The following is a 15,432-nucleotide window of genomic DNA, read 5'->3' as shown; positions in this document are numbered from 1 at the left end:
GTAGTCATAGTCGTAGACTGTAGTAGTTCGAATCGTTTCTTTTGGTTAAAGCTAATTTGAGTTGGGTTTTCTAACACTTGTTAGAGAAACAAACCATATTCTCAGAACTCCCCAAGTGGTACCCACTTCAATTATTCAGTATCATCAGTCTCAGGAATGATCATATACCTCTGTGGTCATAGTGAGTGCAAGCACCTTCTACAGACTCCTGTATTGGGATGAGGGGGAGGTGCTATTAAGGACTCTAGAAATCTAAAAAGTAGGATGTCTTGGGAAATTTGAAGTCCTTAAATGGAAATATAAAACATCAAAGACCAATTCTGCCTGACTCAGATGTTTCCCTGGAGCCAACTCAGTGTCACAACTTAATTCAAATTGCCAAGAGAAATAGCTGTCAAAGACACGTAGATTCTTAATAGCAAACTGGGACTATGTGACATTATAAGATCTGTCTATGTCTGTTCAATGGGTTTAAAGCCCAAATGAATCAGATAATTAGATCAACTCTCTGCTCTAGCTGAAAACCCTGAACTAAAAAAAAATTAAAGCTCTCATATATAGTAGAAATGAATTTCCTAACCTTTAAAATGCCCTAGCATAAACAACATAATTGCTGAAGGTGATGGTTGAAAACAAAGGTATAATTGAAGAAGTTTAGTGATTAGTATCACTGAAAAATTGGGAGCATTTCTTTCTGTTTGTTGATGTAAAACTGAGTTAGGCAAATTGAAACAGCATTTTGCAATAAAAGTAGAAAATTTAAAATTGATGTTAAAATACTGATCCTTTGATGATTGTCTTTGAAATAATAGCACACATGGAACAACAGAAAATTAAAACATCAAATATTAAAAAAAAAAAAAAAGTGGCCAGGCACAGTGGCTCACGCCTGCAATCCTAGCACTTTGGCAGGCCAGTATGGGCAGATCACTTGAGCTCAGGAGTTCCAGATGAGCCTGAACAACATGGCAAAACCCTGTCTGTAATAAAAGTACAAAAATTAGCTGGGCATGGTGGTGCATGCCTATAGTCTTACCTATTTGAGGGGCTGAGGCAGGGGGATTCCTTGAACTTAGGAGGTCAAGGCTGCAGTGAGCTGAGGTGGTGCCACTGCACTTCAGCCTGAACAACAGAGTGAGACCTTGTCTCAAAAAAAAAAGAGAGCCCTGAGGGTGAGGACAAGGGTTCTGTTACAGAAATCTAGTTCATAAAACAAAAAGGCAATTTGGTAGATTGTCTCCTAAATGGTCACCATCAATTAATTCCTTTCCTCCCTGTACATATGTGCCACATCCCGTCAAGCTCATTCCTTCCATCTCCTTGAATCTGGTCTGGCCTTAGTGACTTGTTTGACCAATAGAATATGGTAGAAGTGACATCCCAGGACTTCCAAGACCAGGTCACAAGAAGTCTTGCAGTTTCACCTGGGCCTTTTCATGCTCCCTCTATGGGAAAGCTTCTTCTGGGAGAAGCCAGCTGCCATGCAAGAAATCTGACTTCCCTGAAACCACCATGCTGTGAGGAAGCTAGTCATGTGAAAAAGTCACATGCAAAGAGAGAGAGACAGAGGAGGAGAGGGAAGGGGATTGTGGAGGGGCAGGAGGGGAGCAGGGAGGGGAGAAGGGAGAGGAAGAGAGAGGGGAGGGGAGGGGAGGAAAGGGGAGAGGGGAGATGAGAGGGGGAGGAAAGGCGTAAGGATGGGGAGGGGAGTGGAGGGGAGAGAGTAGAAGGGAGGGGAGGGGAGAAGGTAGAAGGGAGGGGAGGATAGAGGGGAAAGGGAAGGGAAGAAGGGGAGGGGAGAGGAGTGGGGAGGGGAGGGGAGAGAGGAGAGGGGAGGGAAGAGAAGAGGGGGAGGGGAGAGAGGAGAGGGGAGTGAAGAAGGGGATGGAAGAGAAGAGGGGGAGGGAAGAGGGGGAAGGGAGAGAGGAAGGGAGGGGAGGGGAGGAAAGAAGGGGGAAGTAAGAGGAGAGGGGAGGGAAGAAGGGGGAAGGAAGAGGAAAGGGGGAGGGGAAGGGAATGGAGGGGAGGAGAGCAGAAAGGAACGGGGAGGGGAGGAGGAGGAGGAGGAGAGGGGGAAGGGGAGGGAAGAAGAGAGGGAGGGGAGGGAAGAAGGGGGAGGGGAGCACAGAGGAAGGAGGGGAAGGGAGGGAAGGGGGAGGGAAGGGAAGGAAGAGGGAGGGCAGGGGAGGGGAGCGACTGGGGGAGGGGAGGGGGAAGGGAGTAGAGAAGAGGAGAGGAGAGAAGAATGCCTGGCCAGCTTTACCTTTTCCAGCCATTGCAATTCAAGTTCCAGACACATGAGTTAAAAAGCTATTGTGGACATTTCAGCACAGCAGATGTGTTATAGAGAAGAAGTAAGGAAGGCAACCACCATCCCATACCAATATCCTAGTCTAGCCATCCCAGCCAACTCCAGCCATTAAAGCCATAGCCATATGCCACCTGAGGTCCCAATCAGTATCGAGCACAGATCAGCAATCCCAGATGTATCCTGCAATTCCTGACACACAAAGTGATGAATATGATAAAAATGATCGTTGTTTTGTACCACAGTGTTAGAGTCATTTGTTACACAGTAATAGGTAACCAGAGCAACAACTGTCAGCTGAAGTCAATATTGTTCATCTGAAATTAGCACTTTCAAAATTGATGGCTCATGAAGGTCTAAAATATGCATCAAGAAGCAGGAGAGTCATATGTTTAACAGAAGCAAAGTCAAAAATGAGGTACCAAGTTTTTTAAATGGTCATATTGCACTTTGTTAAAGCCAAGAGCAAATAACAGAGATCTTATAGAATATTTTAAGGAATAAACAAATAGAAAGCAATACTTACAAACCTGAGTTCTGAGACTGCGTCTTAAAATATTAAAGATTATGAAGATCATGCAATCAGCAATTGATGACTTAAGGAACAAAAGCTTCTCACCATCTGTTTCAGTTAATTTGGCCAAGTTAACACATCTGAGATTAAGTAGTTTTGCCAACACACACTTTGTTTCAGATTTTCTAAACTTACACTACCTCTGACCTTTATGATTAAAATCTAATTAAAAATGTAGTTATTTTTAAAAGATAAAGATGGTGTAATTGTCTCATCTATTAAAGTTATGACTAATTGTTAACCTTCTTAAATTGCTGATTCACTGCCATGCCTTTCATTTCAACCTTTTCAAAGCAAAGTCCAAAAAATTCAGATTGCAAAACAAACTCTGCTGAAAAAGAAATGCAATTCACTTTCATTGCATGATCAAAGCAATTTGAAAGACTTTTACAGATTTACGGGTCTAACCTTCAGAACCATGAATTAACTGAATCTTTGATTCACTTACCCAACTTTTCAATTTAAACTTATTAACCAAAAATATGTATTTTACAACTGCTGTATGCCTATCCCTATCCTAAGTGCCATGAAGAATTATAAAAGAATTAGAAAGCATTGCCTCTTGCTATCTTATTGGGAAAATAAAACTGTGAACACAAATCAATCTAATAATAACATGAGACAGGTCTGCTTTCTTCCAGGGACATAACTTACCTACAGATGGAAGAGGAAAATCATATATGCAGATGGCAATCTTGTAACCCACTGAATACCACAAAGTTTTTCCCAGTGTTTTCTCTGGATACTAGTTGGCCTTCTCTGCTAGGCACAGAAGGATCCTTATTTTTAAGTAAGTCCCTCTCTGCTGTTACCCTGGATCATAAAGTTGCCCAGTGAGAAACAGCTGTCACCGAAATTCCAACATTTCAGGCTTCGTTCTTGAGACTTGATTTGGGGCCCATGTGAGGACCCACCATGTTCTCTGTCCATGGTCCTCAGTATAAATGCCATGTCTGTTCTGAACCAGGCCTCTTGTCAATCTTGGCTTTAAACTTTTCAAGAAGATGACTCAGTGTCTCTTTGATGTATTTCCCAGGGAGTCTCTAAAGTTAATTCTTTGTACGCCACATAACTGTATGTGAAATTAGGTCACAGAAAAATGCTGTGCAAATTTGATGAAAACACTTCACAGCCATACTCACATAAAGCACTAACAAATACAATTTTCTTAGTTTTACTTGTTAAAATACATAAAGCATTTTAGGAAGGACTAGGTGTATTTGAATTGCATTTGGCTTCTAAAAAGAGTTAGGAAAGATTGTGTATTTGCTCCTCAAATAAGGTTTTTCTTTGTTAAGTGTAAGTGCTTTCAGAAAAAAAAAAATCCTAAGCAGAAGGTGAAAATAAAACAGATTAATTAGTATTGTTCTGATGCCCTTTAAAATACCATCTACCTTGTCTCCAACCACTTGGCTCAAAGGCTTCACACAGAGCCCCCACTGTACAGTACTCCCCAGAAATGCTGAAACGCCACTGAACCCCCCAACTACATATTCTCTCCTAATTTCTAGCTCATTCCTCTCTCACACATGTGTCATTGAATTAATGTTTTTTTCTTTAGAACCACCATAACCTCAGATTCATCTCTCCAGAGATCAAAGATAGGCAAATTAAGAATGTCAAAAGACTTTGCTGAATGCAGCTCCTTATAAAGTATGTCAGGATTAAATGTTCTAAAGCCAAGATTATCTAGCCCCACCTCCACCCTCCAAAAAAGGAAAAAAGACAAGAAAAAAAGGCACCAATCCTTTAACAGCATCTGTGTATTTACGGAGAACTTACTTTGCTTTCTCATCCATCCGATTCAAAATTGTCCATGTGGATTTTAGTTTTGTGGAAGAAAGCTCATTTTTTTTGAGACAGTACCCCTAAATGTACACATTTAAGCCCCTGACACAGACAATTTGTATCATTAAAATACTTCATCTGAAGCACAGGGCTTTGATTCTTTGATTTGATTTGACCTGTATTTACCTCTTGCTTTCCCTGTCTCCTTTTCTTCCATTTAGCTACAATTAACTATAACATGTCTAAGTCTTCTTCATTCCTGGGCTAGCACGTCCAAGTATGACCATCCATCATTCCATTCCTGTAAGTTTTCCTGTCTCTTGGTATCCACTTGGGTAAAACTTGAATTAAGAAAAGTGATTTTTGTTTTACATCATTGGGCATCTTCTATTGCTTCTTTAAAAAATGATTCTTAGAAGTCTTGTGTACCTCACCCCAGTTATGCTGTTATATCTGAGATATTTTTCCTCTCCAAAACTAAACTGAGTCTTTTAAAAAGGAATAGAGACCTTTGTAGAAAAAAAAAAAATCTATGGTCCCAAGAATGGGTAAACATTCCAGAGAGGTTCTTGTTTTTCCCCCTACAGGTCTGCCCATCCCTACAAATTGCATTCTTGTAAGAATACTCTCAAAGTGAGTCACAACAACAAAGTAAACAGAGGGTTTCTCAACGTGACAGAGGAAGAATTTTTTTGTTTGAATTTGCATGTTGTTTATATTTTCAAGCAGGAACTGGAAGAAAGAGGTTTCACTCTCATTGAGGATATCCAGTCATGAGTTCTTTTTAAGCTTTGCTGTTGGCTCAATTCCCTTCAGCAGTGCATATTTGGACTGGGGGACTATGACTCAATTTCCCTTCCTTTCACCTCACTTACTCTTTCATCCATCTTTCCCAACACGCCATGAGGAGATTCTTTGCCAATGTTCATTCCAAACTTCTGTTGTAGCCACATCTCTCCACCAATCTATTCCTACCTTCAAAAGTCCAAGTTTCCACCCTTTCAAAGTTCCTCATAGCCCTTCCTCATTCTCTGCTCATACGCATCCTCTGTTGCTCCCCTCGCACACTGCTACCCCAGCTAACCTCCTCTGTGTGTCTTTCTTCTTGCCTAAAACAATATTTTTCTAAAATTCCTAATTCCTTTCCCCTTTATTATTTGGTCTCCAGGTCCATAAATAACTATTCTGAATTTCACCTCTAAGAATAATTCTTAGAGCAACACCTTTGCCCTCAATTATTATATTTTTCATATTTTTGCCAAGTACATAAAATACTGCCTTTTATGGCTAGGCTTCCCATATTTCTTAAATCAATATATAAATAAATCATGTTTGTCCTTGTTGTTGCCAATTTTATCAACAATTCTCTCTCCTTGGGTCAAGAATAATGAGAATTCTGATTGTATATCCTACTGCCAAGATCGACGTGTAAGGAACACATTTGGTATGTTATAGTGAAGCATGGCTATGTAGTAGCCCAGAAGACGAGAAAAAAGGAGTTCTGTACCTGGTCAGATTTGAGAGAAAAGGGAAAGGAAGGGAGGTGTTAGATAGAGAAGCAGGAGGACAGGATGAGAGCAACATGGTGGGAAAATGACTCAATCTAAAATAATTGTAATTCCCAGTCTCATTTTAGTCAAGTGATCTGTGCCAGAGTTGCAAGATGTAGTAGAAGGACATCAACATGTAAGGAATCCTGGTGAGGCATCAGGCATAGGAGCCCAATTCAAAGTATAGAAGAACTGCAGCAGAGAGAAGTATAACATGGGGGAAATTCTGGGTCATTCAAAATAGAAAACTTTAGGAAGCCTCACAGGTTATGTTGGGGTGGATGGGATTGGGACTGGCATTTATTTAAATACTTCTTAGGTCAATATCAATATTAGGGATGTACAGTGAGACTGGTCCTATATATGAGAAAATTAGTAAGCCCAGCTTTGGAACTAGGAAGCATAGAGAAAAAAAGAGAGTGAGACTGACAGTAACTTTGATTACTCAGACATTTCATGTGCAATGTGTGAAAGAGAAGAAAATCTTCTGTGTCATTCAAGCCCTAGCTGCCATGCGTTTGTGGTTTAGTTTTGGGGAGATTACCACTAGGGCCTCAGTTTTCTCATTGGTCAAATCTGGTTGTTGAGTCAGGTATTCTCCAAGGGTTTTCTAATTTCTAGAGCCCTCTAAGTCTGTGAAGAGTCTCTCTAGCCCTGTTTACACCTCAATCCAATTCACCATCTCAGCCAAACTAAATTAGTGCTTAGAAAGGCTTTGCTCTTTCTTTGACTATTCTTTGGTATACATGGTCCTGCCTAGTGTTGTGTTGGTAAACACTTAACATTACCTGATTTAAAATGTTTCCCAACTTTTATGGTGTGAAGATTCCCATCATAGCCAATGTCAAGCTACCAACGTGAGGTCAACTGACTGCATGGCAGTGCCCCACCATATAGCATTTCTGCCACATGAATACATTAGGCATCAGTAACCTCAGTGACTAGTTTTGAGTATTCTTTACCTTTGTCTTTAATATCATCTATTTATATAATTTAACTTTTAATAAGGGCTCACAGTTCTCCCTCCTCCCCCCACACTGCTGAGTTCAGGTGGGTAACTTACTACAAGTCTGGCTCTCTATATAAGAAAATGAACAAATCAAGCTTTGGATCCAGGAAACACAGAGTGAGGACAAATGAGAGCAAGACTAATAGTAGCTTTGGTTAACGGGTGGTTGTATTCCTCTGGTTCCATTTCTTACTCTGTAAAATGGAGAGAGTAAGATTTGCCCTTTTGCCTAGCTGGATTTTTTTAAAGTTCAAGTGAGAAGAATGTGAAAAGACATTGAAAGCCAAAAGATAAATTATTATTGTTGCTATTATTTTCTCTGTTTGGAATTGAAAGTTTCCATTAGAAGTCTAAGTCTGACACAAAATGGTAATATAAAATCAGGAATATTAGAAAACCCCCGTGTAGTAGAAAGCAGTTAATCAACTCAGAGAGGCTGAAGACCTAGTTTCATCCACTTGGTTTTAAAGCTCTATGATGCTCAATGGTTTGACAGAAGTTTAATTTGAGCTCAGAACCACTGCTATAAAAAATACCACACTGGATGCACCTGTGTTCATTGTATTAAAATAAAGACCAAAAAAAAAAAAAGAGGGCTTTTTGGCATTTCTGTATTTCTGGCCATTTTCTAATGATTTATGCAGCTGCTCACTGAATAGGAAAACTTATTTAAGGAAGTAACGGTTAAGAATTAAGGGAAAAAAGAGAAATCTGGAGGTAGTGATAGAAGCATTATTTTCAAGATCTTGGTAACTTTGTCAATGTTTTTGTTGTTGTTGGACCATTATGGTACCAGCTTACTGAAAATTAAATAAGTAAATGATGTGTGATGCTACCTGGATGAAAGCCAGGCTCATATGGATGAATGAAATATTCAAAATGATATCCTGACTTTTATTAAAGTAAAATATGTTGTGGAAAACAATTCTAAGACCATGAAAACCATTATCTCATGTTCAGTCACTTTGCATGATTGAAACTGATGGTGAAATTTCACTTGGAAAAAGTTACGATCATTCGCTGTGTTTCTGTTACTACCCACATATAGGTGGTAGGTTACCAAAAAAATGTAGTACAGTTTGAACAAGAGGTAACAGTTTATAGAGCTCCTCCCAATCCACATTTGCAATAAGCAGGGTAGCTTTGATCAAATGAGCAACTTCTCACAACTAAGTCAAATACGTAAGATGTATATTTGATAAGAAACCATGAAAGTGGGAAGAAATGATAACTATGTAACATTCTAAAAAGGCTTCATGTACTAACAGAGCTCCATGGGAAACAGTCTCTGACTCTATTGAAAAACATTATTTATTTGAACTAAAAGATTAAAACCTTTTTCTTGGAACTTAGAATAAAGTATGCTTGTTTATTTTAATAAAGGTCCTAAGGTTTCTGTGGGCATGGCATTTTTGATTGATATTTTTGTTGCACTGTATCTAAGGAAAGGCAGTACAACACGTGGCTATGTAGGCTTCCAAATGCATGCTTAACCCCTGGAGAAGGATCAGACAGAGGTGGTGTATGTACAGCCCAGGTGCTTACTTCTCTTAAGCAAAATGAAATTTAATAATAGGAAGAATTCTGATGAAAATTTAAAAGTTGTGTTTAGAACGTAAAATAGGAGTTGATATTGATAGTGTGACTTTTTGAGAAATGGACAAAGGAAAATATGTGTAAGACTGAATTAAGGCAGATTAATGGGGAGGCAGGTATATGATACACAGAAATGGGTTTTGGAGTTAGTCAAACTTGGATTCAAGTTACTAGCACTGTCAATTACAAATTAGATGACCTTGGGTTAGTTAGTTGACTAAACTGTCTTGTTTTTAGCTTCCTCATCTACCAAATGGGAATTTAATGTCCAACAGAACAGGACAATTATGAGGAATCAATGCAGTGATAATTGTGAATTACCCAAAACTTGGTCACTATGAGGATAAAAAGAAATTGTATAACAATCTCCCACTTGCAATTTCTGTAGAGTCCATGGGTATGAGGCACCCACCCTAGAATGAAATCGAAAAATACTTGAGCTAGGTCACATACAGTACTGTGTCTTTCTATAAAGAATGGGATAGTTGAAAGTGATTAAACGCAACAGTCTGGAACTAAAAAATGGAAAGATTGGGCAAGATATTAAAAACAAACCAACCACAATAACCTCCCAAGTCGTAACAAGAATTGGGCAATAGAAGGGTAGCCTGAGTCACCATGAGGAAGATGCAACGATAGGTTAGAAAGTAGATGAAACCACTCTGGAATGACTACAGATGAAGACTGCTTGAGGTCGATGATATGAAATGGATTTTCCAATCCCAATCTAGTTTATTTTTATCTTCCTCATGAAAAGTAAAATAATTCACATGACATTTTGATTGAGACCTTATGAGTACCATTTCCATTGTGCAAGACAGGAACGTTTAGGGCAGAAAGCTTTTGCCAAATAGTAACAGAAGATGGCCAGTATGAGTGAGAGTCAAGACGAGAGTTGAGCAAGAATTTAGTGAATTTGAGAGAAAAGGCCACCAGGGTAATCCAAATCAAAATGTGTCACTGTCATCATTAAAGTCTCCTTTCATTTGTGTCACTCATAGACTTAATGAGGGAGGAAATAATAAAAGCCTAGAAGTCAGGACCTTTATCAATGCCCTCTGGTCTGTATTGTGGGGTTACCCTTCAGGGAGTGTCTGCATATTATATACTAAAACAAAGCCCTAGGCAGCTCTCAGATGCCCCCAAAGCCTCTGTTTCTATAGCAATTCCTGAAATCTATGGGAAATTGCAAAATTAATAAATTTGGCTTACAAGTCACTAGCTGTGTGTCCTTCAGGATTACTACTTGGTACCTGTGACAATCTAGATGAGATTTTAAATTCTCTAAAAAAAGTCCAAAGACCAACGTAGACCCAGTTTTAGACAATCTGTTCCTAATTTTTCTTTGCCCGTGGAGGACTGTTAAGAGTTTTATAAAAGGATTGCCATTTCAGTAATGGCAAGCTCAGACAGTTTACGTCTCCAATGTATGGTTGAGAGTGAGAATAATTAGAGTTATGAAAAATCAGTCTCTTCCATCAATTTCCAGGTACAAGCTGTACCATTGTTGGGCAATTTCATAATCTCATTTGCACATCTGTGTTTGTTTAATGTTTGAGTGTGCTTGGATATGCTGGCCATCTATAAATCCCCATCCATTAGGTAGCCTGGACTTTCATTAGGAGATCCAAAGACCTAATGAAAAGAATATTTTGGTACCAATTCTTTGTTTACAGAGAGCATCTTTTTCTTTCCCCCAAAGAGCTCAAAGTACTTTTCATTAAAACATTACTGCATGTCTATGAAATAGGTAGTAGGTTGGAAGCAGAAGCTCTATATTTTATAGATGAGCAACTAAGCCTCCAGCCAGCATGACAGAATCCTTAGAAGACAGAACCCAAACTTCCAAGCCAGCTAAGCTCAGTTGTTTTCCACACAGTCACTTAGTAATACACAAGCCAAACAAAATTTAAGTTTAGACTAACTGCAGAAAAATGAAGACTTAACCTGAAAAAAAGTGTATTTCCAAAGCATTTCCATGATGTTTCCTTTTCAGATGTGTATTTTTAATGCTATTCTATTAATAATAACTATCATGGAGTTCTCATTTACCTTTCAGAAGTAGGGAAATACCTCTATATACGGTAGGGAGATAAGACCTGAAAAATCAATCATAAAAATGTGAGAACAAAAACACAATTCTAAATACTCATTTTCAGGGAAAATTGTTATTAAGACATGTTTTATAAAACACATCTGATAATGTTCACCATATGTATGCAAATGTGTGTGTGTGTGTATAATTGTAAATGTAAGAAGAAATGGCTTAAGATAAAGTAGGGAAAACTTCTGTTTGATACAAGAAAAATATTTCAAATAACAGAATGACAACCACTAGAACAAGTTACCGAGAAAGATTGTAGGCAAATCCGCCCTTAGTATTTTCAGGGCTCGAGCAATAGTAAAAATGATGCTTGATTTAAATATTCTATTCCCCAACTTTGACAAATAGACCTTTGTAATCACAAAATAAGAAACGCATTAAGTTATGGTTTGTCATAAGACTAAGAATTGACCAAATATCTAAGAAGATTGAGCATGGACTAATGGAGTAAAACATAAAATGTAATTGTATTCAAAGTATTCAAGTTTGAGTGTATTTTCATCTAAAACTAAAATTATATGTAAGATATAAAAAATAAATTGAATATATTTTTTAAAAGTCATTTTTCTTTAAGAATTCAAAATTATAGAGTAAGCTATACAAATAAAATTACAAATTAAAAATATTTTTGTAAAAATGAAATTATTTGCAATTCTAGTATTTGGGACCTATCTAGTCAGCATTATAAACACCAGTATCACACATCATGCATGCTATTTACATATATGCAAATTTAAGAATAATATGGATTGTTTAATATAATAAGATAATTTTTGAGCTAATCCTTGCAAATCTTGCACTAATTTAAGAGTTTCTCTGGAATCGCAAATTAAAACATTAAGAGAAGCAAGAAAATGAATAGTTGGCACTGTTGAGAAATGATATTTTATCATGTTATAATCTAGTATTCCTATTACATAATGCATCATATTATTGGACAAATTAGTTGATTTGTCTTTCCTCTAAATCAAGCCCTTCTACTGCTCAAATTCTCCCTGCACTCTGAAGCAGTGTCCATCTCTGATGTCAACAGGGTTGCAATCCACAAACCTGCATGGCCTTTGGACACAACTTCTTTTGTTTTGTGGACACACAGCAAGGAATATAGAGGAGCTTTTCTCTGGGATTTGGACAGTGTTGGTTAAAAGAGTAGATGTTTAGGATTATTGGTCACACTATGCCAGCACCAAGTGCTGGACCCAAATGACAAAGAATCCTGTGTGTTCTTTAATAAATTTTGTGTGTGTGTGTGTGTGTGTGTGTGTGTGTGTGTGTGTGTGTGTGTTATGTAGGACCCTCTAAAGTTCAAAGCTCAGAAGAAACCTTTTGCCTGGGTCTCAGGATGTTATTGGTTATAGAGTCTTAGCACCATCAAAACTTTCAAGAAGCTTTTTATAGAGCCATAAGTTATTCAAGAACTTTTGTAGGGCTAGGGGAGAGGAGAACCTCCATATTAATGCTGATTTGTTTTTCTCCTTATAACTGGATATGTGGGCAATGCACCTCAGATCTATAAACCAGGTTGCAGGACTAAAACATTTGCATGCAATCTATATAAGGATCTTTGTAAGATTTGTAAAATGGGTATGGTGAGGTGTCCTGGTTTAATGGTAGCAAAGGAGAGATCCTGTTTTATTTTAATCAATTAAGACCATACTCCATGATAACAGTGTATACCTAAATTCAAATCTCTCTGTACATCCACAAAACACCAGGTAGGTCAGCAAGCAGAGTAACTAAAATCTACCATAGTTCATGCCTCTAGCATAACGATAAAACAGAAATGCTACTGACTCTGATGTTCATATAAGTAGATAAATATCCATTGAGACCAGTGGTGAAAGATCTGGAGTCATGCCCGAGCAAAGAATCAGGTGAGGGCTATGTAATAAAGAAGAAAGTGTAATAGGGTTCAAGTGGCGAAAGAAACCAGACAATGTCACTCACAGAAAGAGAGGAACCAGTCCTGAGTGGGAAAACAGAGAACAGTTCTGACACCCGAGGAATCAGAATTCTGGCACTGCAGCTTCTAAAGGAAGAATACTTGAGAATGTGTAAGATCAGAAGTGGCCCTGTGAGAAGGCAGCACTCCTTGGGGAGAAGGAGGTGACATATAATGGAAAAGCTTAGTATCTCTATTGGATCAGGAGAAGGGAGGGAGTGCTGGACAATTGGGATTCTGGGCTAATGAAAAGCATTCAAATGGAATAACATGCTAGTTCAGTAGGATGGTTTACCAAGTACATTCTAAGCAATTGAGTAGAGAAGATATTCCAGATGCATGTAATATCATCTGGAATATCTTCCAGAGCATGTAGATGGCCAGGGTTGCTCTTGCCTGCTAAACACACAGCATACCAAGTACTGTGATGTCAAAGAGTAATCTGCTTTATTTTCTCTTTTATACTGACAACTTTTGGGATATTAGACATTCAATAGACGCTCCTAAAGAGATGATTTGAGATGAAGTAATAATTATTATCACTTCAAATCAAAGGGACAGTAGGTATAAGCGAACCCATTTATAATCCTCTTTGTGTTTGTTTGGTTTTTTTCATTTGTGAGAATTCTGACACTAGGACAGAGAATAGAAGCATCCCTGCAATCACAGAGCAAGTAATCAGATAGTTAGAACTTTGAACAACAAGAAAAAATCATCTGCTCCCTTCTGAACCAAATTGTCATTTTCTGTCATAATGACCTCAGAATTCTGCTGATAGAGGAAATAAAACACTTTGGACTAGGGTTCTTTCCCTCTTAGGAAAAAAAGAAATCTGCTTCCAAATTCTGCCAAATCAATGTTGATCCAAAATCCAAGAGAAGAAAACCCAACGTACTTGGAGTATTTTAAAAAGACATTTCTACTTTTGTCTACCCACCCCCACCACTTCAAAAAGCAAACACATTTGAAAAAATCATGAGAACAAAAAGCACTAGCACTAGCAGGTTATACAAGTTGCTTCTGGATATATTTTGCCTAGAATTCTGCGTTCTTTTAACAGATGTTTGACTTCCAGACAGTTTTATTTTGCAAAAAAGCTTGGATGAGAGCTCACATTTATACACATGTTACCTTTGACCCAGCTGTTAGATAAACCTGGAACTTATTGGCAGTTTCATCACCTGCCATTACTGAGATCAAAATGGAAATGATCTTCTCCAGAATCAGTTGAGAGAATGATGGGGAAAGACAAACTTTCGCCTCTTTCTTCCTTATCCACCAATTCAAGAGTGAAAGAGCAAAGCGTCCATCAGCAACCAGGCTTCCCAGCTAACTATAATGACAAGCCATCAAGCTCATCATGGGTCAGAATGAAAATAAGGGTGACTTGCTATTCTCCTTTAATGTCTGAGACAAGAAAATGGCAGTAATTAGGGCTGGGAATAATTTGATTTAGACTGAAAAAGGCAAGCTTCTAAATACATGAAATTTGGAACCATTGAATGGATCCAAGATAAAATGGAAAGCTTCTTACCCCAGGTCCTTTAGCAGAGAAAGAAACCATATTAGTCAGCAATAAGAAAGAATGAAATCTTGTCATTTGCAGTGTCATGGATGGAAATTAAGGACATTATCATGAGTGAAATAAGCCAGGTTCAGAAAGACAAATACTACACGTTCTCACTCATATGTAGGAGCTAAAAATGTAGATCTCATGGAGACAATGAGTAGAATGGTGATCACCAGAGGCTGACAAGGGTATGTGGGAGATACGGATGAAGAAAGGTTGGTTAATCAGTACATGCAATTACATAGAAGGAATAAGTTCTGGTGTTTAATAGCATAGTAGGACAACTATATTTATCAATAATGTATTGTGTATTTCCATATAGCTAGAGGACAAGTTTTGGAGTGTTCCCAACACAAAGAAATGATAAATGTTTGAGGTGATGGATAGCCCAATCACTCTGACTGGATCATGATACATTGTATGCTTGCATCAAAATACCACATGTACCTTGTAAACATGTACTCTTATGTAGATAAAAAATTAATTTCAAGGGGAAGAAACCAGAAAATAAAAGATGACAAGAAAATAATGTAAAATGAATATCTAATATGTATTGATTACTTACTAAATATGAGATACAATGATAATTATGTACATGCATTATTTCATTTAATCATTACAATTATCTTTATAAGGCTGATATTACTATTTTCCAAATGTCCATATAGGAAAGTTAAAGCTCAGGGAGGTAAAACAACTTGTCTAAAATTAGAGCTGAAACTCAAGTCCAGAACTTTCTGATACTACAGGTTATAATGATTCTCATTACTATATCCTATGGGGGAAAAAAAAGACTACACACAAAAGACTGAAAAAAAATTTATAAGACAAACAATTGGAGAAAATATTGGCAACATGTGACTGAAGAATGGTTAATATTCTTAATTTATAAAGAGCCTTTAAAAAGCCATAGGTAAAAAGTTCAGCAATAGAAAAAAATAAGCTAAGGGTGAAGGGGAAAGCAAATATGAAAAGAAGAAAGAAGGCTGGA

At 37.8% G+C, this 15,432-nt stretch overlaps 1 long non-coding RNA gene across 2 annotated transcripts in view, besides 1 other annotated feature; it reads right to left on the bottom strand.

Annotated features, from left to right (window-relative positions):
- The window catches only part of LINC01483 (long intergenic non-protein coding RNA 1483), a 309,014-nt gene that overhangs the window by 135,482 nt on the left and 158,100 nt on the right, over positions 1-15,432 (bottom strand). The gene's annotated exons all lie outside the window — the stretch shown is intronic.
- Positions 4,743-5,942: an enhancer, noted in NCBI's record as "P300/CBP strongly-dependent group 1 enhancer chr17:67757718-67758917 (GRCh37/hg19 assembly coordinates)". NCBI's record gives its function as "activates an origin of replication core promoter dependent on BRD2, BRD4, P300/CBP, MED14 and CDK7 cofactors, with strong dependence on P300/CBP, by STARR-seq in HCT116 cells {active_cell/tissue: HCT116}" and the evidence as "EXISTENCE:reporter gene assay evidence [ECO:0000049][PMID:35650434]".

Source organism: Homo sapiens, chromosome 17 (assembly GCF_000001405.40).
Source record: "Homo sapiens chromosome 17, GRCh38.p14 Primary Assembly".
Classification (NCBI taxonomy): domain Eukaryota; kingdom Metazoa; phylum Chordata; class Mammalia; order Primates; family Hominidae; genus Homo; species Homo sapiens.
This window is presented reverse-complemented; position numbering and strand designations above follow the sequence as displayed.